Raw genomic sequence first — 26759 nt, forward strand, 5'->3', positions numbered from 1 at the left:
TTCCAGGAAGCTAGTAGAAGATTTGTACCAACAAAACCAAGGAGTAAACAACTTGAGAATAACTGCATGAGCTCAGGTAGGCAGGGGCTGGATCAAAAGTGTTGTATAGGCATAGTAAGGAGTTTGAACTCCATTAAATGCCAAAATTACTTAAAGTCATAATAGAATGATATTCTAGGCCAGGCGTGATGACTCACACCTGTAATCCCAGCACTTTGGGAGGCTGAGGTGGGCAGATCACCTGAGGTCAGCAGGTCGAGACTAGCCTGGCCAACATGGAGAAACCCCATCTCTACTAAAAATACAAAATTAGCCAGGCGTGGTGACGCATGCCTGTAATCCCAACTATTTGGGAGGCTGAGGCAGGAGAATTGCTTGAACCCGGGAGGCAGAGGTTGCAGTGAGCCGAGATCGTGCCACTGCACTCTTGCACTCTAGCCTGGGCAACAAGAGCGAAACTCAGTCTCAAAAAAAAAAGAATGATATTCTAAAATTGTGATTTGTTTCCTAGGACCCCTTTTGAGCAACATTGTGATTGGCTTCAACCGGAAACAATAGTTTTAATCTCGTTTTCATATTTTGCATTCCTTTAAAACGCTTCTGCTGCTTTTTTAAAAGTCTAGAAGCCACTATACTAGAAAGACCTTGAAATGTGTATAACACTAGTTAAACAGCCTTCTGCAATTTGGCAGGGCCCCCAGAAAATCCTGGGATCAAGAGGTTATAGGAATTTTAAGGTCTATGTAAGTGGTCATAGGTTTATGGAAGTTCCTGGAGCAATACACTGTGGGAGGGGTATGATAGGGAGGTGAAATTCTTACTGAATTTCAGCAAGACTCTATTGGTCATTCTTCCTTCAGGAGCAAAAGTGATCCCTAGAACATTTCTACTAGAACAGCTCTGCTTACCACTTAATTGCTAAAGCTGCTTTTGACTTTCCAGACTGCCAGCAAATACATTTTAGAAATGCAAAATGAGGTGGGGGAAAGACAATATGGCCAACGTTCTTCTTCTGCAAAATGCTGCCACAGCTGGAATAAGGCAATATCTGTATAAATGTGTGTGTGTGTGCATGTCTGTGTGTGTGTGTGTGTGTGTGTGTCTGTGTGTGTGTTCAGTGGGCTCAGAAGAAATTTATGGGTATGTTATATTCTAGCAAATCAGGGTTGAAGCCAGAGCAGGGATCCAGGTGTTCCCTAAATCTGAAGCCAAAGAAACTTTTTATTTATGGTTTCAGCAGACAGACATTTTCTTTCCAAAATCTGCGTTGTAATCTGTATCTACAAGGGTAAAAGATCTGCACACAAACCAAGCCCTATGTTATGATGTTCACTGGTTTTCCTGGCCAAAAAGAGGGCATTCTCCAGTTCCCCATCAGCTGGGAGAAATCCTTTCCCCACCCTCTCCTGAACAAGTGCTTTCCCTCCCCACTAAGCAAGTGAATTTTAAATACTACTCTAAAGTTGTTGGCTGGTGACCCGGAAAATTCCTTTTGCTTTGTTATGCTGTTAATGGTCCATCAGTTTAAACCTCATATCCCCAGAAAGTTTCCTTCTCTTAACTAGATTGGAGAAGGAGGACGAAGTTTAAAAAAAAAAAAAAAGAATTGCTGTTTCAAAAGGCTTGGGGAAGATTCAAAGGTGGTGTTGGGAAAATTGGATATCCATATGCAGAAAAATGAATGAAAAATGAAACTAGACCCCTATCTTTCACCATACACAAAAATAGATTCAAACTGGATTAAAAACTTAAATGTAAGACCTGAAATTATGAAACTACTAGAAGAAAACAGGGAAAATGCTTCAGATCTGGGCAAAGATTTTATGGGTAAGACCTCAAAAGCACAGGCAACAAAAGCAAAAAGAGGCAAATGGGATCATATCAAACTAAAAAGGTTCTGTACAGCAAGGGAAGCAGTCATGAGTAAAGAGGTAATCTGCAGAATGAGAGAAAATATCTGCAAACTATTCATCTGACAAAGGGTTAGTATCCAGAATATACGAAGTACCTAATAACGAACCAAATAATCAGATTAAAAATGGGCTCATGATCTGAATACACATTTCTCAAAAGAAGACAGACAAATGGCTCATGCCTGTAATAATCCCAGTACTTTGGGAGACTGAGGCAGGCGGATCACCTCAGGTCAGGAGTTCAAGACCAGCCTGGCCAACATGGCGAAACCCCGTCTCCACTAAAAATACAAAAATTAGCCAGCTGTGGTGGTATGTACCTGTAATCCCAGTTACTTGTGAGGCTGAGAGAGAGAATCACTTAAACCCAGGAGGTAGTGGCGCCAAGATTGCGCCATTGCCCTCCAGCCTGTGCGACAAAGCAAGCCTCCGTGTCAAAAAGGCCGGGCACGGTGGCTCACACCTGTAATCCCAGCACTTTGGGAGGCCAAGGCAGGCAGATCGCAAGGTCAGGAGATCAAGACCATCCTGGCCAAGATGGTGAAACCCCATCTCTACTAAAAAATACAAAAAATTAGCCAGGCGTGCATGGTGGCATGCACCTATAGTCCCAGCTACTCGGGAGGCTGAGGCAGGAGAATTGCCTGAACCCAGGAGTTGGTGGCTGCAGTGAGCTGAGATCATGCCACCGCAGTCTAGCCTGGCCATAGAGTGAGACTGTCTCAAGAAAAAAATAATAATAATAAAGAAAAAATGCTCAACATCACTAATCATCAGGGAAATGCAAATTAAAACCACAATGAAAGCTGGGCTTGGTGGCTCATGCCCGTAATTCCAGAACTTTGGGAAGCTGAGGTGAGTGGATCACCTGGGGTCAGGGGTTCAAGACCAGCCTGGCCAACGTGGCGAAATCCTGTCTCTATTAAAAATGCTAAAAATACAAAAATTACCAGGCATGGTGGCAGGCGCCTCTAATCCCAGCTACTTGGGAGGTTGAGGCAAGGAGAATTGCTTGAATCTGGGAGGCGGAGGTTGCAGTGGGCCAAGATCTTGCCACTGCACTCTATCCTGGGTGACAGAGCGAGACTCCGTCTCAAAAAAATAAAACCACAATGAAGTATCTTCTCTTCCAGTTCAAGTGACTATTATCAAAAAGACAAAAAACAACAAATGCTAGCGAGGGTGAGTAGAAAAGGGAATTCTTATAAACAATTGGCAGGAATGTAAACTGGTATAGCCATCATAGAGAATGATATGGAGGTTCCTTAAAAAACTACAAATAGAATTACCATGTGATCCAGCAATCTCACTGCAGTATTAATCCAAAGAAAAGGAAATCAGTACGTCAAAAAGGCATCTGTACTCCTATGTTAATTGCAGCACTATTCATAAGAGCTAAGATATGGAATCAGGCTGGGCGTGGTGGCTCACACCTGTAATCCCAGCACTTTGAGAGGCTGAGGCAGGCGGATCACAAGGTCAGGAGATCGAGACCATCCTGGCTAACAAGGTGAAACTCCGTCTCTATTAAAAACACAAAAAATTAGCCGGGCGCAGTGGCGGGCACCTATAGTCCCAGCTACTCGGGAGGCTGAGGCAGGAGAATGGCGTGAACCCGGAAGGCAGAGCTTGCAGTGAGCCCAGATGGCGCCACTGCACTCCAGCCTGGGCGCAAGAGCGAGACTCCAACTCAAAAAAAAAAAAAGATATGATATGGAATCAACCTAAGTGTCCATCAAGGAATGAATGGATAAACAAAATGTGCTATAAATAAACAATGGAATACTATTCAGCCATAAAAAAAGAATGAAATCCTGTCATTTGTGGCAACATGGATAAGCTTGTAGGACATTATGTTAAGTGAAATAAGCCAGGCACAGAAATATCAATACCACATGTTCTCATTCATATGTGGGAGGTAAAAAAGTTGACTTCATACAAGCGTTGAGTAGAAGAGTGGTTCTTAGAAGCTGGGAAGGGTAATGGGTAAAGGGAATAGAGAAAGGTTGGTTAATGGATAAAAAAATTACAGTTAGGCTGGGTGTGGTGGCTCACGCCTATAATTCCAGTACTTTGTGAGGCCGAGGTGGGTGGATCACTTGAGGTCAGGAGTTCAAGACCAACCTGACCAAAATGGTGAAACTCCTTCTCTACTAAAAATACAAAAATTAGCTGGGCACTGTGATGGACGCCTGTAATCCCACCTACTCAGGAGGCTGAGGCAGGAGAATTGCTTGAACCTGGCAGGTGGAGGTTGCAGCGAGTTGAGATTATGCCACTGCACTCCAACCTGGGTGACAGAGTGAGACTCTGTCTCAAAAAAAAAAAAAAAAAAAAATTACAGCTAGATGGGAGGAACAAGTCCTAGTGTTCTGTAGCACTGTAGGGTGAGAACAGTTAACAATTACTTATTATATATTTTCAAATAGCCAGAAGAGACAATTTTGGATGTTCCCAATACAAAGAAATGATAAATGTTTGAGGTGATGAATATGCTAATTACCCTGATTTGATTATTACACATTGTTTACATGTATCAATATATCACACTGTATCTATAAATATGTATAATTATTATGTCAATTAAAAATAAAATTGAAAAATGCAGTGAAGGAAATGGTTCTGTAACTACTGATGCAGAAATATTTATATTAAACAAAACACATTGCAAATTAAATTTATTACAAAGCACAAAATAACTTTCAAACTCTTTGATTTGCCAAGTTTTCATAAGACTAGAACTTGGAATTCTGAATTGCAGTCTCAATAAGACAACTCTATTTTGTCATAGAAAAAGTAATTGAAACAAGAATAGATAAAGAATAACAGCTTAGCTTTTTAACAGCTTAGTTCTTTCATCTTTGTTTGAATACAAAGGCCAAGGAAAAGAGTCTATGTGTTATTTTCAGGAAAATTTTCTGTATAAATTATTGTTATTGAAGCACTAATTTTCTATTTTATGGTCAGGTTGCATGCCTTGGAAAGGATGTAGTATATGATGAAATTGCCCAAATCATTTGAATGATAATAAAAGTTAAAAAAATAAAGGTGACTAGGCTCCAGATGAATGGAAGGAAAGAATTTCATCTATTTCAATCTGTACAGTGGCTAGCACTAGGGCATATGTAAGTAGGTAAAAAGGGCCTTATTAAATGATTTTAGATAAAGGTGATAATTTTTTTTTTTTTTTTTTTTTTTGAGACAGAGTCTCGCTCTGTCACCCAGGCTGGAGTGCAGTGGTGTGATCTGGGCTCACTGCAAGCTCCGCCTCCCGGATTCACGCCATTCTCCTGCCTCAGCCTCCAGCGTAGCTGGGACTACAGGTGCCCGCCATCACGCCCGTCTAATTTTTTGCATTTTTAGTAGAGATGGGGTTTCACCTTGTTAGCCAGAGTGGTCTCGATCTCCTGACCTTGTGATCCACCCACCTCGGCCTCCCAAAGTGCTGGGATTACAGGCGTGAGCCACTGCGCCCGGCCTGAAGGCGATAATTTTTTAATGAAGTAATTGATCAACCATGTAGGATTTTGGTAGACACAGGTCTTCTGGAGGACCTGTCATTCTGGAGGCCAAGATTCAGATTTCGATTTGAGATGTGTAAACTAGTAGGTATGTCAGTGTTGATGAGCCACTTAACTCAGTCACCTTCCTTATTCTTATTTGTAAGGTACAGTTTACCACCTTCTTGGATCTTGTTGTTGTTAGTTACATACCACTTACCGTGTGTGCCAGGTTCAGAGCTAAGGGCTTTTCCTGTATTAGCTAATTTAATTCTCACCAACACCTCTGTAAGGTAAGTACTATTATTATAATATATTACATATTATAATGTTATATATTATATATTATATAATCTCATTATATAATATATAATTATGTCATATTATATATTAATATATTAATTATATATTTTATATAATTATATAATTTATATAATTATATATTATATTTATATTAATTACACATTAATATAATATACAATTAATGTTATATTAATTACACATTAATATACTATACAATTAATGTTATATTAATTACACATTAATATATTATACAATTAATGTTATATTAATTACACATTAATATACTATACAATTAATGTTATATTAATTACATATTAATATACTATACAATTAATGTTATATTAATTACATATTAATATACTATACAATAATGTTATATTAATTACATATTAATATACTATACAATTAATGTTATATTAATTACATATTAATATACTATACAATTAATGTTATATTAATTACATATTAATATACTATATAATTGTTATATTAATTACATATTAATATACCATATAATTGTTATATTAATTACATATTAATATACCATATAATTAATGTTATATTAATTACATATTAATATACCATATAATTAATGTTATATTAATTACATATTAATATACCATATAATTAATGTTATATTAATTACATATTAATATACCATATAATTGTTATATTAATTACATATTAATATACTATATAATTAATGTTATATTAATTACATATAATTAATGTTATATTAATTACATATAATTAATGTTATATTAATTACATATAATTAATGTTATATTAATTACATATAATTAATGTTATATTAATTACATATAATTAATGTTATATTAATTACATATTAAAACAGTATATAATTAATGTTATATTAATTACATATTAATATACTATATAATTAATGTTATATTAATTACATATTAATATACTATATAATTAATGTTATATTAATTACATATTAATATACTATATAATTAATGTTATATTAATTACATATTAATATACTATATAATTAATGTTATATTAATTACATATTAAAACAGTATATAATTAATGTTATATTAATTACATATTGATACAGTATATAATTAATGTTATATTAATTACATATTGATACAATATATAATTAATGTTATATTAATTACATATTGATACAATATATAATTAATGTTATATTAATTACATATTGATACAATATATAATTAATGTTATATTAATTACATATTGATACAATATATGTTATATATAATTATATATTAATATAATATATAACATAATAATATAACATATATTATATAGTATATTATTATATTATATACTCTCTCTCTCTCTCTCTCTCTCTCTCTATATATATATATATACTTTTTTTTTTGAGACAGAATCTTGCTCTGTCACCCAGGCTGGAGTGCAGTGGTGTGATCTCAGCTCACTGCAACCTCTGCCTTCTGGGTTTGAGCGATTCTCCCGCCTCAGCCTCCCAAGTAGCTGGTGCCCGCCATCATGCCCGGCTATTTTTTGTATTTTTAGTAGAGACAGGGTTTCGCCACGTTGGCCAGGCTGGTCTCCAACTCCTGACCTCAGGTGATCTGCCCGCCTTGGCCTCCCAAAATGCTGGGATTACAGCCATGAGCTACTGTGCCCGGTCTGTATTATGTTTATATATAGAATATTATAATTATACATTTACATTATATAAATATTATCTATATTATATAAATATTACATATTATATAAGTAATATTATTCCCATTTCAGAGAAGAGGAAACTGAGGCTTAAAAAGTTAGTGAAGCTAGAAATCCCACGTGGGTTTTCTGTCTCCTTAGCTCATGCTCTGAACCATGCCATTATTCTGTTTATAAACAGCAAAGATCTAAAAAAACATAAATAAAAGGAAGCACAGAGTGGCCAAACAATTCCACCCTAGAGCATGACATTTCACCTTCTGCCAGTTGCTCAGGTCATATGTTTGCTGAGTTATCAGCTCCTAATTGGAGGGAACAGTTCTGCACATAATGTTGTAGGCAGACCTCCTACCCCTAGGCTTTCAGATTTTTGCAATAAGGTCTTTACCACAAAGCACTATTGTTTTTCTTCAGGGCTTGGACTGTCAGATTCCATTTCTAAGCTTCCAGAAGAGCGACACATAGACACTGGGGAAGTCAGAGCCTTTGAACTCCAATGCCATCCCCGTCACCCACCTCCACCACCAGCACCACCACCGAATGGCACTTTGGACAATTTTTCCCTCTCATGTGACTTTTGTCATTTCTTACGTCAGTTGGAGCCAGCACCTCTCAAATCCATCTTCTAAAACCCAGAAAATTGTGTGTAACACATGATGACTGAAAGGGAGTAGGCTGACCAGTTAAGAGCCTGCCACTGGAATGGAAGGCTGTGGGAAGGTGAGGGGACGGTGGACATCAACCGGGAAGAGCTGAAAGATGGCGTTACCAGGTATCTACCCTGCTACCCTGCATAGAATTCCCAAGACCCAGGGTGGGTTTTTATGCTTCCCCGTTTAATATTTATTTTTATTATTTGTCAGTAGAAGTGTCTTTATCTTAAAAAATTAATACATTATTGTTGTCACCAATTTAAATAATATGGAGATGAATAGAAAGTAAAAGTATAGATTTACACTACACACACCCCTTTACGACCCTCCCTCATGCCTCTGCCCAGCCATCACTCCTAACCCTAACCCTTTGGAGTCTATCCTTCCAGATGGTTCTGGGTGTGTGTGTGTGTGTGTGTGTGTGTGTGTGTGTGTGTGTGTGTGTGTCGTTTACAAAAATATCAGTGAGAGGACTCTATTCTGCACCTTGTATATTACAAGCATCTTTCTGGTCTATCAGCTCTCTTATTATTAACAGCAGCACAGTGCCACACTGTAGGAATGCATCATCTTCCTTTTCTTCTTATCTTTGGTTTCTCAGATCTTTTACTTTCCTGGGGAACCTGTCCCAGCTCATGCTTATACTCTCCCTGGGTCCTCCCTCAGGGAACTGCACAAATGGGAAGGTGGTCAAAGGTGAAAAGGGCATGGGGTGGGCCCTAGAAGGGAGAGTGAGGAGGGTGGGGGAGTGTATCCTATCCTGGTTATTACTGGGGTACACAGGGAGTTCCTTTTCCTCCTCACCTTGCCAAATGTTTCCTCTGTCTGGCCAAGGCATACCTTTAACAATTTATGGGAATCATCTCTGAAAACGACCGAGAGGATTAGCACCAAGAAACATAAAAGTCTGTTTTCTTTGAGTTACAATCTCTCTTTTAAGACCTGAACTCTGGGCATCTAGGCCAGTCCGCTGCCTCTGTCCAAGATGTATGAGCAACCTGGGCTTATAGCACCCCATGCTCTTCTCTGGGTAGCTACTCTGCCTTATTAACAACCCCATTAGGTAGAAATTTGTTCCTTGCCACTGGAATGGCATTTCAGCTTACAGGATACAGACAAGACCACTTAATACCTGTGTGCCCTTGACCATATTTTGTGTCATCCCTGTACCCAGTTTCCTCATCTGTAAATAGGAATAATAATAATATCTAAGTTGGTAAGGTTTTTCTTTGTAACTTAAATTAGATAAAATACATATGTAGCTTACTTAGGGTATTATATAGCAGCTGCTAAGCACTCAATGAACGTGGATGATTATGCCCTGAATTGAAATAGCTCTTCCTGCACTTTATTTTTATTTATTTTTTTGAGACAGAGTCTCCCTCTGTCGCCCAGGCTGGAGTGCAGGGGCACGATCTCGGCTCACTGCAACCTCCGCCTCCCAGGTTCAAACAATTCTCCTGCCTCAGCCTCCCAAGTAGGTGAGATTACAGGCGCCTGCCACCATGCCTGGCTAAACTTTTTTTTGTATTTTTAGTAGATACAGGGTTTCACCATGTTGGCCAGGCTGGTTGGCCAGGCTGGTTTCAAACTCCTGACCTCAGGTGATCTGCCCATCTTGGCCTCCCAAAGTGCTAGGATTACAGGTGTGAGCCAGCGCGCCTGGCCTTCTTACTGCACTTTATTTTATTTTATTTTATTTTATTTTGAGATGGAGTCTTGCTCTGTCACCAGGCTGGAGTGCAGTGGCGCGATCTCGGCTCACTGCAACCTCTGCCTCCTGGGTTCAAGGGATTCCACTGCCTCAGCCTCCCAAGTAGCTGGGACTACAGGCGGTGCCACCACGCCCGGCTAATTTTTTGTATTTTAGTAGAGACGGAGTTTCGCCATGTTGGCCAGGAGATGGTCTCCATCTCCTGACCTCATGATCTGCCTGCCTCGGCCTCCCAAAGTGCTGGGATTAACAGGCGTGAGCCACTGCGCCCAGCCACCTTACTGCATTTTAAACCCAAACTTTAAATATCATCTAGGTCAGTGGCTCTTTTTTTTTTTTTTTTGAAACAGAGTTTTGCTCTTGTTGCCCAGGCTGCAACGCAATGGCGCCATCTCAGCTCACCGCAACCTCCACCTGCCGGGTTCAAGTGATTCTCCAGCCTCAGCCTCCTGAGCAGCTGGGATTACAGGTGCACGCCACCACGCCCGGCTAATTTTGTATTTTTAGTAGAGACGGGGTTTCTCCATGTTGGTCAGGCTGGTCTCAAACTCCTGACCTCAACTGATCCGCCCGCCTCGGCCTCCCAAAGTGCTGGGATTACAGGCGTGAGCCACCGCGCCCGGCCCTAAGTCAGTGGCTCTTAACCCTGGTTGTACACTAAACTCACTTTTGAAGTCTTACAGAAATGCCAGTGCCTAGGCCCCATTACCAAAGATCCTCATTCCCTTTGTCTGAGGTGGGGTCAGGGGTGTCAGTGTTTTTGAAAGCCTCCCTGGGAATTCTCATTTGCACCTAGGTTGAGAAGTACTGTATCTAGTTCAGTGTCTCATTTTCCTTATAGGAAGCTGTGAGGCCGAGAGATGAAAGGAAAGGCTCAGGCGATATAGCAAGAGCAGAAGGACCCAAGCCCCTTATCAAGGCTTGTATTCAAGGGGAAAATGCAGCCCTGGGGCTGCCCTTCACTCGGTCTTTGGGATGAGACTTCTGAGCTCTTTCCTGATAATAATGTTTGGACCTTTCCAACCCAGTTCTTCCTAGCACCCTTGCCTTTTCATCCTTGGATGCCTCAGGTCAGACCCCTCAGAGAGGTGTCCCTACAGAAAGCCGCTGTTCTAGAATGTGACCCATTAAAAAACTCATAGCACTTGTAGATGTGAAATAATCCTGTTCATTCATTTTTGAGAATCTAAGCCCCCTGTGGGCAGGAACCGTATCTGTGTTGTTCCTGCGGTGCGGGGGCTTAGAGTAGTGACCAGCACTTAGTAAAACATACTCATTAAATGACTGAATGAACGAAATCCCAGGAGGCCAGTTGAGTAGTTTTTTTTTTTTTTTTTTTTTTTCCTGGTCCCGACCATCTGATTCTCATTACTTCTACAGCTCGGGAAGTCTCTGCTTTGGCATTTTATAAACCTCCTGTGCGTACGTCGACATTTTAACCATAAATCCAGAGTTTTGGGACTGCAAAACTCGAGGCCAGGGGATTGGGGGAGGGGGATAACTACCCGGAGGTCCGAAGCCCGGCGGAGCTGCCCTGGGGTTGGGGGGAGGGACGGGAACCCTCGGGAGGACGCCCCTCCGCCCCCTGCCCACCCCCTCGGCGGGACATGGCCCCGGGCCGGGACGTCCTTCAGATTGGTGCGCCGCCGCCGCGGCCGTCTCCTCCCGTCGGGCGGGGTGGGGGGTGGTGAGGGACGCGATCCAGGTCGTGGCCTGGCGGCGGCTCCGGCCACAGCCCCCGCATTCCGGCCGCGCGCCCCCGGAGGTGACGCCTTGAGGAAGCTGTATTTTTTTGGGGGGGAGCCGCAGGGAACCGTTGGGAGAGGGGCCCTGTGTGTGTCCCTTTAAGAGCCGGAGCGCTGCCTCCGCCTCGCAGGCGCCCGGAGCCTCACAAAAGAACAGGATGTTGTTGATTTGTCACCAAACCACAGAGAGGAAATGATTGTAAATTTCCTTTAAACATCCCCACCGCGCTCCGGCCGCCCCCGCTTCCGCCTCCTCCGCCCCCGCCCGGTTCGGCACAGCGGGGCCTCAGCGCTCCCGCGGGGCGCCTGCTCCCCGGCCGGGCCACGGGCCGAGCGGCTCCTGGGCGCCTGCGGGAGGAGCCCCCGGCCCGGCCGCTGCCCCAGCTCGCGTTCCAGTTGCTTTTTCTACAGTTGCAGCGGAGGAAGGTCCTGGGCTTTTGTGTGAGCCCGCGCGCCGCCCTTCTCTCCGGGAGCGAATGGGAACCGCGCGCGGGGAGCTCCGTGCTGTGTCTAGGGAGCGCCTTAGCGCGCCATCCCCGTTTAGCCTCGCAGCTTCCCTGTAGAGGCAACAACCGTTATCTCCTTCGTTAGGGTCTGGAGGGAAACTGAGGCCCAGGTTAGTTACGTGAGCCGAAAGTCACCAGCTCTTGGAACGCTTTGGGGGCTCTTGGAACACACCATGCAGGTTTAGGTCACCCCAGACCTTATATTTGTGAATCAGTGAGCGACCGGAACATTCTAGAATCCCCAAGTCATCAAAAGTGGCAATTTACATTGCGAAGTCCAAAGCAATGATTGCCAAGTCCAAGTTTTTTCGTGGGGGAACGTCCCTCACCACTTCCAGCCGGGCATCCACTTTTCAGAAGCTGTTTGGGTCTCAGTTTCTACTTTCACTCCATTTGCTTGTAAGATTTCAGGAAGCCTCTGGTGGAGTAAGTGTTTGCTCCCAACCTGTGGCCCATGTTGGAGTGGTGTGGTCTGTGGTCTAGGAAAGGGCTGCCTTTGCTGTACAGAGTGTTCTTTTGGAGCAAGTAATGCTTATTCCGGCATAGGCTGCACTGGGCTTCTTGAACTAAAAGCAGCAGCTAATGTCCTAGACACCGCTGAACAGAATTCTCTCATTTCATCCTTTGACCAGCCCCAGGAGGTAGAGGTTGCTTTTCTCTTTAAACAGTTGAGGAAGCAGGTTCAGAGAGGCTGAGGAACCGGACCAGCTTGCACATTGTAAGTGGAAGACAAAAGACTCATTTAGTTACCACATTCTGATTACTGGTGATGTCTCTCTTTAATACTTTGTCTTATTACTCGCTTGCGGAGACAGGTGGTGAAGAGAATACAGGATATTTTTGTTGGGTCTTGTTACCTCAACTTCCAGGGAGCTCTGGGCCGGACTCCACTTTCTGGGAATAGAGTTAGGTGGCCAGTGCTCTCAGACTGGAATCTTCCCTTTGCCAGCCTTATGAGAGGTCCTGAGTGGCTTGGGGACTGAGGTGGAGTTCTTTTCACTCTACTTGAATAGGAAAATGGGCTCCTTTAAACGATTACCTGGAGTTGGATTTCTAAGGCTGAATAGCCCCAGTCCAATGCAAGCCCTTCTATTCAGATTTCTCAGCTCTAGGGGGCAATGGTAAGAGCTGGTGAGATGTATGGAGGGTTGACTTTGAATATTAAACGTGCGGTTCCTAACAGCTAATGTTTTCGTGTGCCTGCTATGTGCCATGCACTGTGCCAGGTGCTGTGCACGTGTTTTCTCATTTGATCCTAAGCCACGAAAAGTTGGTACCCAGAGAGGTCGTGCACCTAGAAATGATGGAGCAGGGGTTGGCATTTTTCTCCACAGAATCCCCTGTGTCTGTGCAAGAGGTCATCCAGGCACCCCAGAAATGAGACCACAGTTGCTTGCCTTCAATCATTTAGAAAGCCAAGAGGGTCCTTGGTGCGGGTGGATTTTGAGAGAGAAAGACAGTGGCCTTTGGCTCCTTTGTGCTGCAGCTGTCTGCAGTTCCTCAACTCTGAGGACATTTGTTGATGGATTTCCAGAGCGGACTTCTGTGTCTCCACCTGTCCTTTTTGCTTTTATAGAATGCCAGTCACTGGGACATCCACATCCTGACACTTGGGAGGGTGAACCATCTCCTTGTTTCCATTCCTCAGATGAGGAGCACAGGGCACCAACCTGCTAAGTTGTTGTGGGCACTGAATGGGCTGACTTGAGGCAGAGCAAAGCCACTGAAGTCAGGGTCCCTAGTCCCCGCCACTCAGTTCTGGGGAAGCTGGAACCATAGGGCAGGTCATCTGATGCCACCTGGTCTGAGTTTCCTGGCCTGTGAAGAACTTTGGTCTAGGTGGTCTATGAGGGCCCTTCCAACCATTATAGAAAAAATAGCTTCTATTTACTGGTCCCGTTAATAATATTTATTAAACATCCATTACATGCCAGGCACTACTGTTACAGGCGTTGGAAATACAGTGGTCAACACAAGTTCTGCCTTCTTGGAATTTAGGTGAAGATGCCCGAATAAAATAATTTTATATATATGTAAGTGTATGTATATGTGTATATGTCTATACATATATATGTGTACAGTCGTAGGCTGCATAATGATGGTTCAGTTAATGATGGACTGCAGATAACGGCGGTGGTCCATAAGATTATAATAGAGCTGAGAAATTTCTGTTGCCTAGTGAGATCATAGCTATCCTAATGTCTTAGCTTAGTGCAGTGCATTACCTTTTCTATGTTTAGATACACAAGTGTTTATCACTGTGTTACAGTTGCCTACAGTATTCAGTACAGTACCATGCTGTACAGGTTTGTAGCCTAGTAGCAATAGGCTGTACTGTATAGCCTAGGTGTGTAGTAGGCTATACCATCTAGGTTTAAGTAAGTACACTCTAGCTCTACGATGTTCGCATAACGATGAAATCGCCTAACGAAGCATTTCTCAGAACATTTCTCAGAACTTACCCCAGTCGTTAGGCGACACGTGAATGTATGTGTATATATGTAAAATGTCAAGGAGTACTTTGTTATGGACAAAAATGAAGCATGTAAGGGGAAATGCAGTGTGTGTGATGGGAGGGCTACTATTTTATTTAGGGTGAGGAAGGCTCACTGATAAGGTAGAAGGGAAGGAGTGAACCAGGCAGCTTCCTGGGAGAAGCTTACTGTAGGTATTTGAAATGGCAGAGATAAAGACTGGAGATGGGACTGTGTTGCATAGCACTTGCTGTGTGTTGAGCACTGTGCTAAGTGCTTTGTAGTCTTATATGTTTAATCCTGCTTATCACTGTTTTGTTTTCTTTGAAGTGTGAGACTCAGGTTAAATGATTTACCCAAGGCCACACAGCTAGTATGTAGCGAAGGTGATATTCAAATGCTAGTTTTAATCATCATGCTGCTTCCCACTAGGGACTCTCCTTTTTGAGCTGGACCTGGCATTTCATTCATGACCTGGTTCTTTTGATTTCTTGGGGATTAAACAGCAACAGTGGCCAAGGTGACACCTGGCAACTGAGTTGCATGGTTGACAACAGCTTAGGGCCTGAAGTTCCTTTTTGTGAGTGGAGGAAGGTGATAAGTTTAATACTGGAAAACCCCATGTTGTGTTTATGGCAGAAGGGGGGAGAAACACCTTTGGATTATTGTAAACAAGAGAAACGGGAGAACGGGGTAGCCTGAATCCCTCTGTCTCCCCCTCCTTTGTTTTAATTTCCCTAAGATAGTCCCAGCACAGCATGTTGTATTATACAGCGATAATTAAAACACTTGGATTTGTGAACTGAGATTTATAGGGCAAACAGGAGCCAGAGGAGAAAACGACAGTCATCTCTTTTATTTGCAGGCAGATATCCAAATTGCCACTTGCTTGCTTTTTCTTCCCGACACTATCACCTACTCTGCTTAATTAGATCCTTTCTTTTCCATATCATTTCCAACTGCCCGCTCTCCCTGCTGCACTGCAGTTTGTGAAGCCACACACTGAACACTTTCCCACAGCCCAGGGAAGATGTGAGTCAGAAACGCAGCAGCAAACAAGAGCGGAGGAGGGCACCTTTGCATCGATCGATCGGGCTGTCCCGCCTGCCTGTCCATCAGCCTCAGGGAGCAGGGACGGGAGGAACCTAACCGAGGGATAAGATGAGAAAGTGCTAGACATTTTCCAGCCTTCCTAAGACAGTTTTCTACTGAGTGCCCATTTGTTGTGGGGAGTGGAGAGGAGAATGAATTCCCCAAACAGCAGGCCACCCCCAAATCACATTGCAGTATCAAATAATATTTTGCTATGTTCAAAACTGTCATTCTAAACTTGAAACAGGGAGGGATGGGGGGCAGTTATGGGGACTGAGATGAAGAAAATGCTGTCAAATTTAGAATCTAGTAGAAAGGACAGTCAAAAATAGCTAATGAGAATTTTTGGCTAAATTAATTTGTTTTGGGCAAAATATTTATTGAATACCTTGAGTATTTGCTGATACTATGTGTCAGACATTGTTTTAGGCACTGAGGGGATACAGCAGTGGCCAAACACCAAGAAATCCCTGCCCACATTGATTTACATTCTACCTGGGTAAAGGAGGGTTGTGACTGTTAATTTCTTACCAAAGAGCATAGAAACTATGCAGAAAAATGAAGTGAAGGGGCCAGGCATGGTGGGCTCCCACCTGTAATCCCAGCACTTTGGGTGGCCGAGGCGGGTGGATCACTTGGGGTCAGGAGTTCGAGACCAGCCTGACCAACATGGTGAAACCATGTCTCTAGTAAATAAAAAAAAATTATCTGGGCATGGTGGCGCATGCCTGTAATCCCAGCTACTTAGGAGGCTGAGGCAGAAGAATTGCTTGAACCCAGGAGGTGGAGGTTGCAGTGAGCCAAGATTGCACCATTGCACTCCAGCCAGGGCAACAGAGCGAAACTCCATCTCAAAAAATAAAATAAAATAAAGCAGAGAAAGTGGCTAGGGAGTAGTACCGGGATTTGTAATTTTAAAACAAAGTGAAGACAGTACAGTGTGTAGATTGACAGACCCGATCTTGAATCTGGGCTTTGACACCTGCCAGCTGTGTGTGACCTTTGAGTTTCTGTAATCAACCAGTCTGAAACTTAATTTTTCTTATTTGCAAAGTGGGTCTAGTAATAAGGGGTTACATGAGTAAAACTATATATATACATATATATATATACGTGTATATATATGTATATATATATGTATATGTGTATATATATATAAATAATTTTTTTTCTTTTTGAGACAGAGTCTCACTCTGTCACCCAAGCTGGAGTGCACTAGCGCGATCTTGGCCCACTGCAGCCTCCACCTCCCAGATTCAAGCGATTCTCCTGCCTCAGCCTCTTGAGTAGCTGGGATTACAGGCATGCGCCACCAGGCTCGGCTAGTTTTTGTATTTTTAGTAGAGACGGGGTTTCATCATGTTGGCCAGGCTGGTCTCAAACTCCTGACCTCAGGTGATCTGCCTGCCTCTGCCTCCCAAAGTGCTGGGATTACCGTCATGAGCCACTGCGCCCTGCCAGAGCAAAACAATATAAATTTACATATTCAATCAGGGTTTCATTAATGTTAGCTGATATTAACTAAGTGCTTATAATATAGGGTGATGGGGGAGCCGAAGGAGGAGTGACCCATCGCATTTGGAAAACGGGTTATTGTCCCTGTCAGCTGTCTTTTTTCCAGTAATCCTAGTTCGACCATACACCAAGAAGGCAGCAGGAGTGCAGGAGAACTCTTGCAGCCAGGATTAAGGTTGGGAAGGATTTAGATCCTGGTTTGGTGTGTGGGACATAGGCTGAAGTTAGAGTAATTGTCAGTATTTTAGATTCTGTTTCAAAAATTATTTTCTACAAGCTTTGTGTTCAGCCATATAGTTCACAACAAGCCTGGTGGGGAGGCTGGGGCTGTCCACTTGACAAACGGGAAAACAGGCACAGGATGTGAGTGCCTGGCCAAGGTCACCTCTAGTCTCCAGAGGAGATCTCCTGCCGGCCCAGTGATGAGTCATGCTGGAGTGTTGCTCCCGGGGTGAAATCACAAAGGAAGGCAGGCTTGGATTTATTGCAGGCAGCAAGGGGAAGTTTCCTGTTCTTGAGAAATCTCAGAAACAGTAACTCCTCCACCTGAAGGGCCTTACTGAGTAGCCCCCAAACCCACACAGGTACAGGGCCTGGTTTAGGGTGAGGGAGAGGCCTTTGGCCTGTGCAGAGGATAAGCAGTAAACAGTAGAAAGAAAAAAGAAGGGGCTGGGCACGGTGGCTCACACCTGTAATCTCAGCACTTTGGGAGGCTGAGGCGGGCGGATCATGAGGTCAGGAGATCAAGATCATCCTGGCTAACACGGTGAAACCCCGTCCCTACTAAAAATACAAAAAAAAAATTAGCCGGGCGTGGTGGCGGGCGCCTGTAGTCCCAGCTATTCAGGAGGCTGAGGCAGGAGAATGGCGTGAACCCGGGAGGCGGAGCTAGCAGTGAGCCGAGATCAGGCCACTGCAGTCCAGCCTGGGAGACAGCGAGACTCCGCCTCAAAAAAAAAAAAAAAAAAGAAAAGAGGAAACTTGTAGTGGAGAGCTTGGGCTGTAGGCCCAATGGACCTTGGTTTGCTGATTCTGCCCCTTACTGGCTTGGGCAAGTCCTATAACCCTTTCTGAGTCTCAATTTCTTCATTGGTTAAATGGGATCATCACAGTGCCTGACAGGTTTAATGAGAGAGTGAAATAACGTATGTTCAGGTTGCTTGATCCTAGGAGTTCAAGACCAGCCTGGACAACATAGAGAGATCCCTGTCTCTACAAAAAATACAAAAATCAGCTGGGTGTGGTTGTGTGTGCATGTAGTCCTAGCTAATCAGGAAGCCGAGGCAGGAGGATGGCTTGAGCCAGGGAGGTCATGGCTGCAGTGAACTGTGATGCCACTGTACTCCAGCCTGGGCAACAGTGCGAGACCCTGTCTTAAAAAAAAAAAAAGATATGTGCCAGGTATTCAGCACCGTGCCTTGCACGCAGCAAACCCTTATAACATTGGTTGTTATTTATGGAGAGGAAAAGGATAAAGGGGTGGGAAGGCAAGAGAAGAGGGCTTAGGGTACTCTGCCCTCTAATGCTGGACCATTCAGATGAGGTCCTGATGAAGCTCTGTCCACCTGAAGCTTTTATTTTTATTTATTTATTTTGAGACAGGGTCTCGCTCTGTCACCCAGGCTAGAGAGCAGTGGCATGATCTTGGCCCACTGCAACTTCCACCTCCCATGCTGAAGCGATTCTCCCACCTCGGCCTCCTAAGTAGCCGGGACTACGGGCACGCATCATCATGCCCAGCTAATTTTTCTATTTTTAGTAGAGACAGTGTTTCATCATGTTGCTCAGGTTGGTCTCAAACTCCTAGGCTCAAGCAATCCACCAGCCTCGGCCTCCCAAAGTGCTGGGATTATAGGCGTGAGCCAGCACACCTGCCTTGTCTGGAAGCTTTTAGAGTCACTCACACAGGAAATGCCGTCTTGGCTCTCCAGGGGTTCATGCTGGATCCAGCAGAGCAGGACCAGACAAACACCCGACATCTTCCCGTTTTCACTCACCCTCCCTGGCATCATGGTTCAGTGGTCACGGTGGGCCTGGGAGGGCCCCCCTTGGTTCCCCCTGTTTCCCTTACCTTAACCTTTGCCTCTCTGACTGAGACCCATTATGCCTCCTGTCTCTGTTGACTCCATATAATGAAAATAATTGAGCCTGTCTCCACCGATAACTGTCTCGAAACAAGCCCCGCCCCGGTCATCTGCCTCTGACTGAACACACCCCGCCCACTGCACAGGGCCTGCCGTAGCCTGCTTCCAGAACCCAAGCAGGGAGAACCCGTAGGCGAGGTGCACGTTTCACAGTGAATGAAGGAACTGGGGCTGACACCCTGGTGGACAGCCCTGTGGTTTGCTGAAGGGTGTCTAATGGTTCTGAGACTAAGGTTCAAAATCTCTGAAAGCGCCTCTAAACAAAACGTTAATTACGGTGTTTTTGCATTTCGACTTTGCCCTTCATCCTCAGCCTTCCTTCCTCGATGCTTCCTGCCCTGGTTTTGTGTGGAAGATTCCTTTTTTTTTTTTTTTTTGAGATGGAGTCTTGCTATGTCACCCAGGCTAGAGGGCAGTGGCACGATCTCGGCTCAGTGCAACCTCTGCCTCCTGGGTTAAAGCAATTTCCCTGCCTCAGCCTCTCGAGTAGCTGGGATTACAGGTGCCTGCCACCACGCCTGGCTAATTTTTGTATTTTTAGTGGAGACGGGGTTTCACCATCTTGGCCAGGCTGGTCCCGAACTCCTGACCTTGTGATCCACCTGCCTCGGCCTCCCAAAGTGCTGGGATTACAGGTGTGAGCCACCGCGCCCGGCCTTTATGGAAGATTTCCTTAAGAAAACAGGTAATAGGCAGGGCTAAAGAGTTGCATGCGCTTGGGGAGGAGAAGCTACAGAGGCTCATAATTTCTGATTTCTGTGTAAATTGTCCCAAGAGCTGACCTCATACTTGTAAGCACAGCACCTCCCAGGATGAGTGAGAAGGGCAGGGTTGTCAATTAGAGGAAACTTATTTAATTGTATAACTCTAGTTCAAAGCCCTCATTTATGTTTGTATACTTTGTTGAGATATTGTAACAACCTTAGATGAAAAAATTGAAATTCTTATAATGTTTCAGTGTCTTAAATGACCCTGCCCATTTGCCTGGGGTCTCTTCTCGTCTTTATCCCTGCTCCTACACACATCTGCACATGGTGTGAGTTCTTTCACCATGGGCCTGGGTTGTGCTAAAACCTTTTACATATTTTTCACCGAATCCTTGCAATAACTCTAGAAGGGAGGAATTATTATCCCAATTACTCTGTTGGAGAAGCGGAGGCTCTGAGGGGTCCTATAGTCACAGTTGGCAGAGCTGGGATTCAAACCCAGGTCTGATTCCATCCAAAACCTGCCAACTTTGTGGTCAGTATGATTTTGTCTGTGTTTTTCACTCAGTATTGTATTATAGATATTTTCCTTTATAGTTTTCGTACTTATTGTTTAAAATGAGAGCACAGAATTCCGTGAACCATTATTTGTGTAACCATTTTCTCCTCCTGGGCATTTGCACTGTCCTCGGTTTGTCACAGTTATGGACAATGCTCTAACGCACATTATGCTTAAGGCTTTTCTCCTCCCCTCTTGCCCCTCTCCTCAACCCACATGTTGGGTGACTTATTCACCTAAGTTTCTGATTCCCCTCCGGGGAGTTGCTTAAATATAGAAGGGAAGGCAGAGCCGCTCAGTGGTTCAGAGCACAGTCTTTACAGTCAGACAAAGCTTGGTTTGAAAATCAGTTCTGCTACTTCCTGGCAATATGAACTTATGCAAGTTACTTAACCTCTCTTTTGTCTCAGTTTCTTTTTCTGTAAAATGGGGATAATGTCTGTCTCACAGGATATGTTGTGAGGATTATATGAGATGACACATGCAAAGAACTTGGGGCCAGCGTATTAAATACATATTAGGCACTTGGTACTTAGAAATTGCTGGACTTGATCCACAGATGTGTTTAATTTGGTCTCCATAGTGTGAAGTTTTAAAAAATTAAATGGCCAGCACTTAAAAATTGGCAGTTTTGGCCAGGCACTGTGGCTCATGCCTGTAATCCCAGCACTTTGGGAGGCCAAGGCAGGCAGATCATGAGGTCAGGGGATCGAGACCATCCTGGCTAACATGGTGAAACCCTGTCTCTACTAAAAATACAAAAAATTAGCTGGGCGTGGTGGCGGGCGGCTGTAGTCCCAGCTACTCAGGAGGCTGAGGCAGGAGAATCACGTGAACCCGGGAGGCAGAGGTTGCAGTGAGCCAATATCGCGGCACTGCACTCCAGCCTGGGCGACAGAGCAAGACTCCATCTCAAAAAAAAAAAAAAAAAAAAAAAATCTCTAGACTCTCTTGAAACATCAGAATGTCTGGAAACATTGCACCTGCATCTTCACGTGGTTGGATAGGCTGGAGCTGAGCAGCAGCTGCCCCCTTTAGATGTGGCATGAACTACCAGGTCTTTTTTTTTTTTTTTTTTTTTTTTTTGAGACAGAGTCTTACTCTGTTGCCCAGGCTAGAGTACAGTGGTGTGGTCTCAGCTCACTGCAACCTCTCCCTCCGGGTTCAAGCGATTCTCCTGCCTCAGCCTCCTGAGTAGCTAGGAATACAGGCGTGTGCCACCACACCTGGCTAATTTTTGTATTTTTAGTAGAGATGGGGTTTCACCATATTGGCCAGGCTGGTCTCGAACTCCTGACCTTGTGATCCGCCTGCCTCGGCCTCCCAAAGTGCTGGGATTATAGGCATGAGTCACCACGCCCGGCCAACTCCCAGGTCTTTTATCTTAGGCTGGGTTACCCAAGGGCAGACCCTGAAACAGCAGAAGCTGACAAGGGAGTGAGGGAATTGGGACTGGAAAGGGGAAGAAACCAAGCAAAGGTGCAATTTCATGCAAAGGCCCTTGGAGGGTAGCTTCAGCCTGAGCCTACAGGGAACTCCAGAGTTGTCTTGGCCTGAGGCAAGGTCATTGGCTAAGGTCTACTGACTACCTGGTAGTGGTAGTAAAGGGACACAGCATAGGAGGTCTAAGGTTTGGGCTGTTGGAATTACACTGATGTTCAGAGGGGCTGACAACTGGCAGAGGGTTCTGGGTGAGGCACCGACAGTATCGGCTACATGTCATTCATTCATTTTTGCATCAGACACTTGAGTTTGCAACCCCTGCACTACTTGGTCATTATTATATGTGTGCAAATTGGGTCACAGCTGGGTCAGAGTGGCAGCAGTTCTCTGCTTGGCTAAAGGTGGGAGGGAAGGAACAACTCTCTTGCAGTGGACAGGAAAGGTGTTTTTATCTCTGTTTTCCAGATAAGGAAACTGAGTCTCAGGGAGGTCAAGAGACATGCCAAAGCACAGCTTGGAAGTGGTAAGGTGAAGAACAGAGTGCTGGTGTTCTGCTTCCTGGTTTGTCTCTCTCCCTCTGGTTTATGTCATCCAGCCCATTTCTCCCTGTACCTGGAGATGCTCCCTAAGCAAACTTTTCTGTGCAGATGCAGATTGAATACAGATGTTACAATAGGGTTAGTCCCACATAGCTGAACTCTTTCTAAAGAAAGACAGAATCGTTTGCAGAGAAAACCAGAGCTTGTTTCCTAAAAACTTCCCTGGTAGAGGGTGGGTTTTTGTCTTTTTGGCCCAAGACAGAGATGGTGGATGAAGCTTCTCCTTCAAATCTTCAAGATTTAAAGAAATTGCTCCGCCTCTTTGCCTGGAGGAATGCCGTGCTGCTCAAAACACACTTTTGGACACGGCACATTTTTCTGTCACAGTGGAAAGACCTGACTCCCTCAAAAGGGTGTTTGCAAAAAGCATCGCGTTCTCAGAATGACAAAACAGTTTTAAAAGAAAAAAACATTGTGTCAGCCCTGCAGCTTATCAATATAAAATGAAGACTAAGATTCATTTATGTGAATGGATCATTTTTTGGGGGAGGGAGTTGTTAAAAATTCATATATCTTGGCTAATGGAACCACTTCCATATCCACAATGAAAAAAATTAAAAAGGAGGCTTATAAAACCTTTCCTGGAACAACCAGAAAAGGAGTGAGTCCCTGAAAATACAAATTGGTGGTGTTATCTTTGCATATTTGCAAAATTCTTTGAACTTCTGAATAGTCTGTTGTGGACCTAGTCTGCTGTTACTTTGACACAGGGTCTTGCTCTGTTGCCCAGGATGCAGTGCAGTGGCGTGATCCTAGCTCACTATAGTCTCAAATTCCTGAGGTCAAGCACTGCTTCCACCTCTGCCTCCCAGGTAGGTAGAATTACAAGCATGTCACCACACCTGGCTAATTTTTTTTTTTTTTCTTTTTGAGTAAGTGTCTCACACTGTTGCCTAGGCTGGAGTGCAGTGGTGTGATCTTGGCTCACTGCAACCTCTGCCTCCTGGGTTCAAATGATTCTCGTGCCTCAGTCTCCCAGTAGCTGGGACTACAGGCGTGCACCACCATGCCTGGCTAATTTTGGTATTTTTAGTAGAGATGGGGTTTCGCATGTTGGCACAGGCTGGTCTCGAACTCCTGTGCCTGGCCCTAGTTATTTTTATATTAACAGTAATGACCAAGCTCTGAGAGGTTCCTTAATATTAGTAGCAAAGGTAGGATTCAAATGCAGGTCTGGATGACCCATAACACATATCGTTTTGCACTACTCGGTTTGCCTTAAATTAGCCCCTTCTTTGGAATAAAGCACCCTGTTAAGAAGACAAGTTGAAGGCCGGGCGTGGTGGTTCATGCCTATAATCCCAGCACTTTGGGAGGCCGAGGCAGGCAGATCACGAGGTCAGGAGTTCAAGACCAGCCTGGCCAACATAGTGAAACCCCGTCTCTACTAAAAATACAAAAATTAGCCAGGCATGGTGGCGCATGCCTGTAGTCCCAGCTACTTGGGAGGCTGAGGCAGTACAATAGCTTGAACCTGGGAGACGCAGGTTCTGGTGAGCCGAGATGGCGCCACTGCACTCCAGCCTAGGCAACAAGATCAAAACGCCATTTCAAAAAAAAAAGAAAAAAAAAGGCACCTTGAATGTCACATTTGTCCTCTTCAAGGTACTTGCTATCTAAGGTGGGGGTGGAGAATCCTTTATTTTACAGAAACAGTGATTAGTTCTTAAGCCTTACTTCATAGATAAGGAAACTGTGAATCAAAGAGGTCAAGTGGGGCAGGCGCGGTGGCTCACGCCTGTAATCCCAGCACTTTGGGAGGCCGAGGCAGGAGGATCACGAGGTCAGGAGATTGAGACCGTCCTGGCTAACACGGTGAAACCTCGTCTCTACTAAAAAATACAAAAAATTAGCTGGGTGTGGTGGTGGGCACCTGTAGTCCTAAGTAGCTTACTTGGGAGGCTGAGGCAGGAGTATGGTGTGAACCCGGGAGGCGGAGCTTGCAGTGAGCCGAGATTGTGCCACTGCACTCCAGCCTGGGTGACGGAGCGAAGACTCTGTCTCAAAAAAAAAAAAAAAAAAAGAGGTCAAGTGATGTGTTCAAGGTCACAGCTATGAAGTGACAAGACCTTTTTTTTTTTTGAGATAGGGTCTTGCTCTGTCACCCAGGCTGGAGTGCAGTAGCGTGATCCCCGTTCGCTGTAGCCAGCGTCAAGCTCCCAGGCTTAAGCAATCCTCCCATCTTAGCCTCCCCAGTAGTTGAGACTACAGGCACTTATCACTGTGCACCACTAATTAAAATTTTTTTTTTTTATTTAGAGATGGGGTCTATCAATGTTACCCAGGCTGGTCTCAAATTCTTGGCTTTGTGATCCTCCCACATCAGCCTCCCAAAGTGCTGGGATTACAGGCATGAACCACCACGCCCGGCCTTCACATATTTTACTTACTTCCCACTTCCCTCCTTACCTCCCTTCCCTCTTAATTTCTGGCTGGTCAGTGAGCCCAGTAGGGCTATCCTGCTGCAATCACATCTGCAGTGACAGCGTTTCCCTGCTTCACACTCTGGGCTCCCTGGTGACTGTCCTGCTATGTACGAAGTTCATTGGAGGTGCACACATTAAGGGTGAAAAAATGCTGGGACCTCCTAACATACAGGGGAGGTGGGCTAGTGAGGCCACTCTGTATTTGGGCTTTAGAGTCACCCAGCCTGGGTGTTAATCCTGGCCTGTGCCACATTGGCAGTGTGACCAAAGGTATGTTATTTAATATATCTGTGCCTCTGATTCTGTATTTGCAAAATGGGGATGAGACCAGTACTTACCTCGTAGAGATGCAGGAAGTTTTAGAAGCATTAGTTCATGACAGCCCTGGCACTGATAAGTGTTAGGGACTATTATCCAAAACAAACACAAAACATTAGGTCCTACCTTGTTAGTTTTAGAGTTAATTGATTTAATTAACTGACAATAAAAACAACTAATAATAACAATAGCTAACATGTGCCTGGCATAGTGCCAAGTACCTTTAATTATTAACTTGTTTAAAAATCTGAAGGTACAAGAGGGATATGTCTCCCTCCTACCCTGTATTATTTAGGGTTCTACAGAGAAACAGAACCAATAAGATATAGAGAGAGGCTGGGTTTGGTGGCTCACACCTGTAATCCCAGCACTTTGGGAGGCTGAGACGGGCAGATCACCTGAGGTCAAGAGTTCGAGATGATCCTGGCCAACATGGTGAAATCCCATCTCTACAAAAATTAGCCGGGCATGGTGGTGCACATCTGTAGTCCCAGCTACTCGGGAGGCTGAGGCAGGAGAATGGCTTGAACCCAGGAGGCAGAGGTTGTAGTGAGCCGAGATCACACCACTGTGGTTTAGCCTGGGTGACAGAGTGAGACTTTGTCTCAAAAAAAAAAATATGCATAGAAAGAAATTTATTATGAGGGATTGGTTCATGACATGGAAGCGGAGAAGTCCCACATTCTGCCATCTGTAAGCCGGAGAATCAGGAAAGCCGGTGGTGGAGTTCCTTTCCAAGACCAAAGGCTGGAGGAACACAGAGCAATGGTGTAAGTCCCAGTCTAAGTCTGAAGACCCCAAAACCAGGAGTGCAGATGTCTAAGGGCAGGAGAAGATGGATGTCACAGCTCCAGAAGAGAGAATTAACTCGTCCTCTGCGTTTTTATTCCATGCAGGTCCTCAACAGATTGGAGGATGCCAGTCCACCCTAGTGAGGGTGATCTTTACTCAGTCTACTGATTCAAATGCTGATGTTGGCCCCAGTACAGTGGCTCACACCTGTAATCCCAGCAATTTGGGAGGCTGAGGCGGGCGAATCGCTTGAGCCCAGGAGGTTGAGACCAGCCTGGGCAACATGGCGAAACCTCATTTTTACAAAAAATACAAAAATTAGCCAGGCGTGCTGGCGCATGCCTGTATTCCCAGCTACTCAGGAGGCTGAGGTGGGAGGATCAGTTGAGGCCGGGAAGTAAAGGCTGCGATGAGCTGTGATTGCACCACTGCATTCCGGCCTGGGTGACAGAGTGAGACCCTGTCTCAAAAAAAAAAAAAAAAAAAAAAAGCTAATGTTTTCTAGAAACACAGACACACCCAGAAAGTATTTTGCCAGCTATCTGGGCATCCCTTATCCCAGTCAAATTGACACATAAAATTAACCATCACGCCCCCATGGTTTCCTCCATGGAAGCAGCCATTATTACCAATACTCTGCGTATCTTTTCAGATATCTTCTGTGCAGACG

General features: G+C 44.3%; 1 long non-coding RNA gene across 1 annotated transcript in view, besides 9 other annotated features; it reads left to right on the forward strand.

Moving 5' to 3' along the window:
• Positions 1-26759, forward strand: part of SPRY4-AS1 (SPRY4 antisense RNA 1) — a 138762-nt gene that overhangs the window by 20117 nt on the left and 91886 nt on the right. The window contains exons 2-3 of the long non-coding RNA NR_120664.1: positions 7-76; positions 7817-8174. This is a non-coding gene — a long non-coding RNA (SPRY4 antisense RNA 1). The remainder of the gene's footprint in view (positions 1-6; positions 77-7816; positions 8175-26759) is intronic.
• Positions 9651-10452: an enhancer, noted in NCBI's record as "H3K27ac-H3K4me1 hESC enhancer chr5:141734625-141735426 (GRCh37/hg19 assembly coordinates)". NCBI's record gives its function as "activates a minimal SCP1, AML or CMV promoter by ChIP-STARR-seq in primed H9 embryonic stem cells {active_cell/tissue: H9 hESC(primed)}" and the evidence as "EXISTENCE:reporter gene assay evidence [ECO:0000049][PMID:30033119]".
• Positions 10453-11254: an enhancer, noted in NCBI's record as "H3K27ac-H3K4me1 hESC enhancer chr5:141735427-141736228 (GRCh37/hg19 assembly coordinates)". NCBI's record gives its function as "activates a minimal SCP1, AML or CMV promoter by ChIP-STARR-seq in naive H9 embryonic stem cells {active_cell/tissue: H9 hESC(naive)}" and the evidence as "EXISTENCE:reporter gene assay evidence [ECO:0000049][PMID:30033119]".
• Positions 11292-11941: a silencer, noted in NCBI's record as "silent region_16471". NCBI's record gives its function as "represses an Ori minimal core promoter by ATAC-STARR-seq in GM12878 lymphoblastoid cells {active_cell/tissue: GM12878}" and the evidence as "EXISTENCE:reporter gene assay evidence [ECO:0000049][PMID:35858748]".
• Positions 15435-15673: a silencer, noted in NCBI's record as "fragment chr5:141740409-141740647 (GRCh37/hg19 assembly coordinates)". NCBI's record gives its function as "represses an EF-1alpha promoter that drives an FKBP-Casp9 reporter gene in an ReSE screen in HepG2 liver carcinoma cells {active_cell/tissue: HepG2}" and the evidence as "EXISTENCE:reporter gene assay evidence [ECO:0000049][PMID:32094911]".
• Positions 17395-17689: an enhancer, noted in NCBI's record as "tiled region #738; HepG2 Activating DNase unmatched - State 5:Enh, and K562 Activating DNase unmatched - State 5:Enh". NCBI's record gives its function as "activates a minimal TATA promoter and a strong SV40 promoter by Sharpr-MPRA in HepG2 and K562 cells {active_cell/tissue: HepG2 | K562}" and the evidence as "EXISTENCE:reporter gene assay evidence [ECO:0000049][PMID:27701403]".
• Positions 17395-18198: a biological region, named in NCBI's record as "Sharpr-MPRA regulatory region 738".
• Positions 17479-18198: an enhancer, noted in NCBI's record as "OCT4-NANOG-H3K27ac hESC enhancer chr5:141742453-141743172 (GRCh37/hg19 assembly coordinates)". NCBI's record gives its function as "activates a minimal SCP1, AML or CMV promoter by ChIP-STARR-seq in primed H9 embryonic stem cells {active_cell/tissue: H9 hESC(primed)}" and the evidence as "EXISTENCE:reporter gene assay evidence [ECO:0000049][PMID:30033119]".
• Positions 18199-18920: an enhancer, noted in NCBI's record as "H3K27ac-H3K4me1 hESC enhancer chr5:141743173-141743894 (GRCh37/hg19 assembly coordinates)". NCBI's record gives its function as "activates a minimal SCP1, AML or CMV promoter by ChIP-STARR-seq in primed H9 embryonic stem cells {active_cell/tissue: H9 hESC(primed)}" and the evidence as "EXISTENCE:reporter gene assay evidence [ECO:0000049][PMID:30033119]".
• Positions 19158-19207: an enhancer, noted in NCBI's record as "active region_23319". NCBI's record gives its function as "activates an Ori minimal core promoter by ATAC-STARR-seq in GM12878 lymphoblastoid cells {active_cell/tissue: GM12878}" and the evidence as "EXISTENCE:reporter gene assay evidence [ECO:0000049][PMID:35858748]".

The sequence above is a fragment of the Homo sapiens genome, chromosome 5, assembly GCF_000001405.40.
Source record: "Homo sapiens chromosome 5, GRCh38.p14 Primary Assembly".
Lineage (NCBI taxonomy): Eukaryota > Metazoa > Chordata > Mammalia > Primates > Hominidae > Homo > Homo sapiens.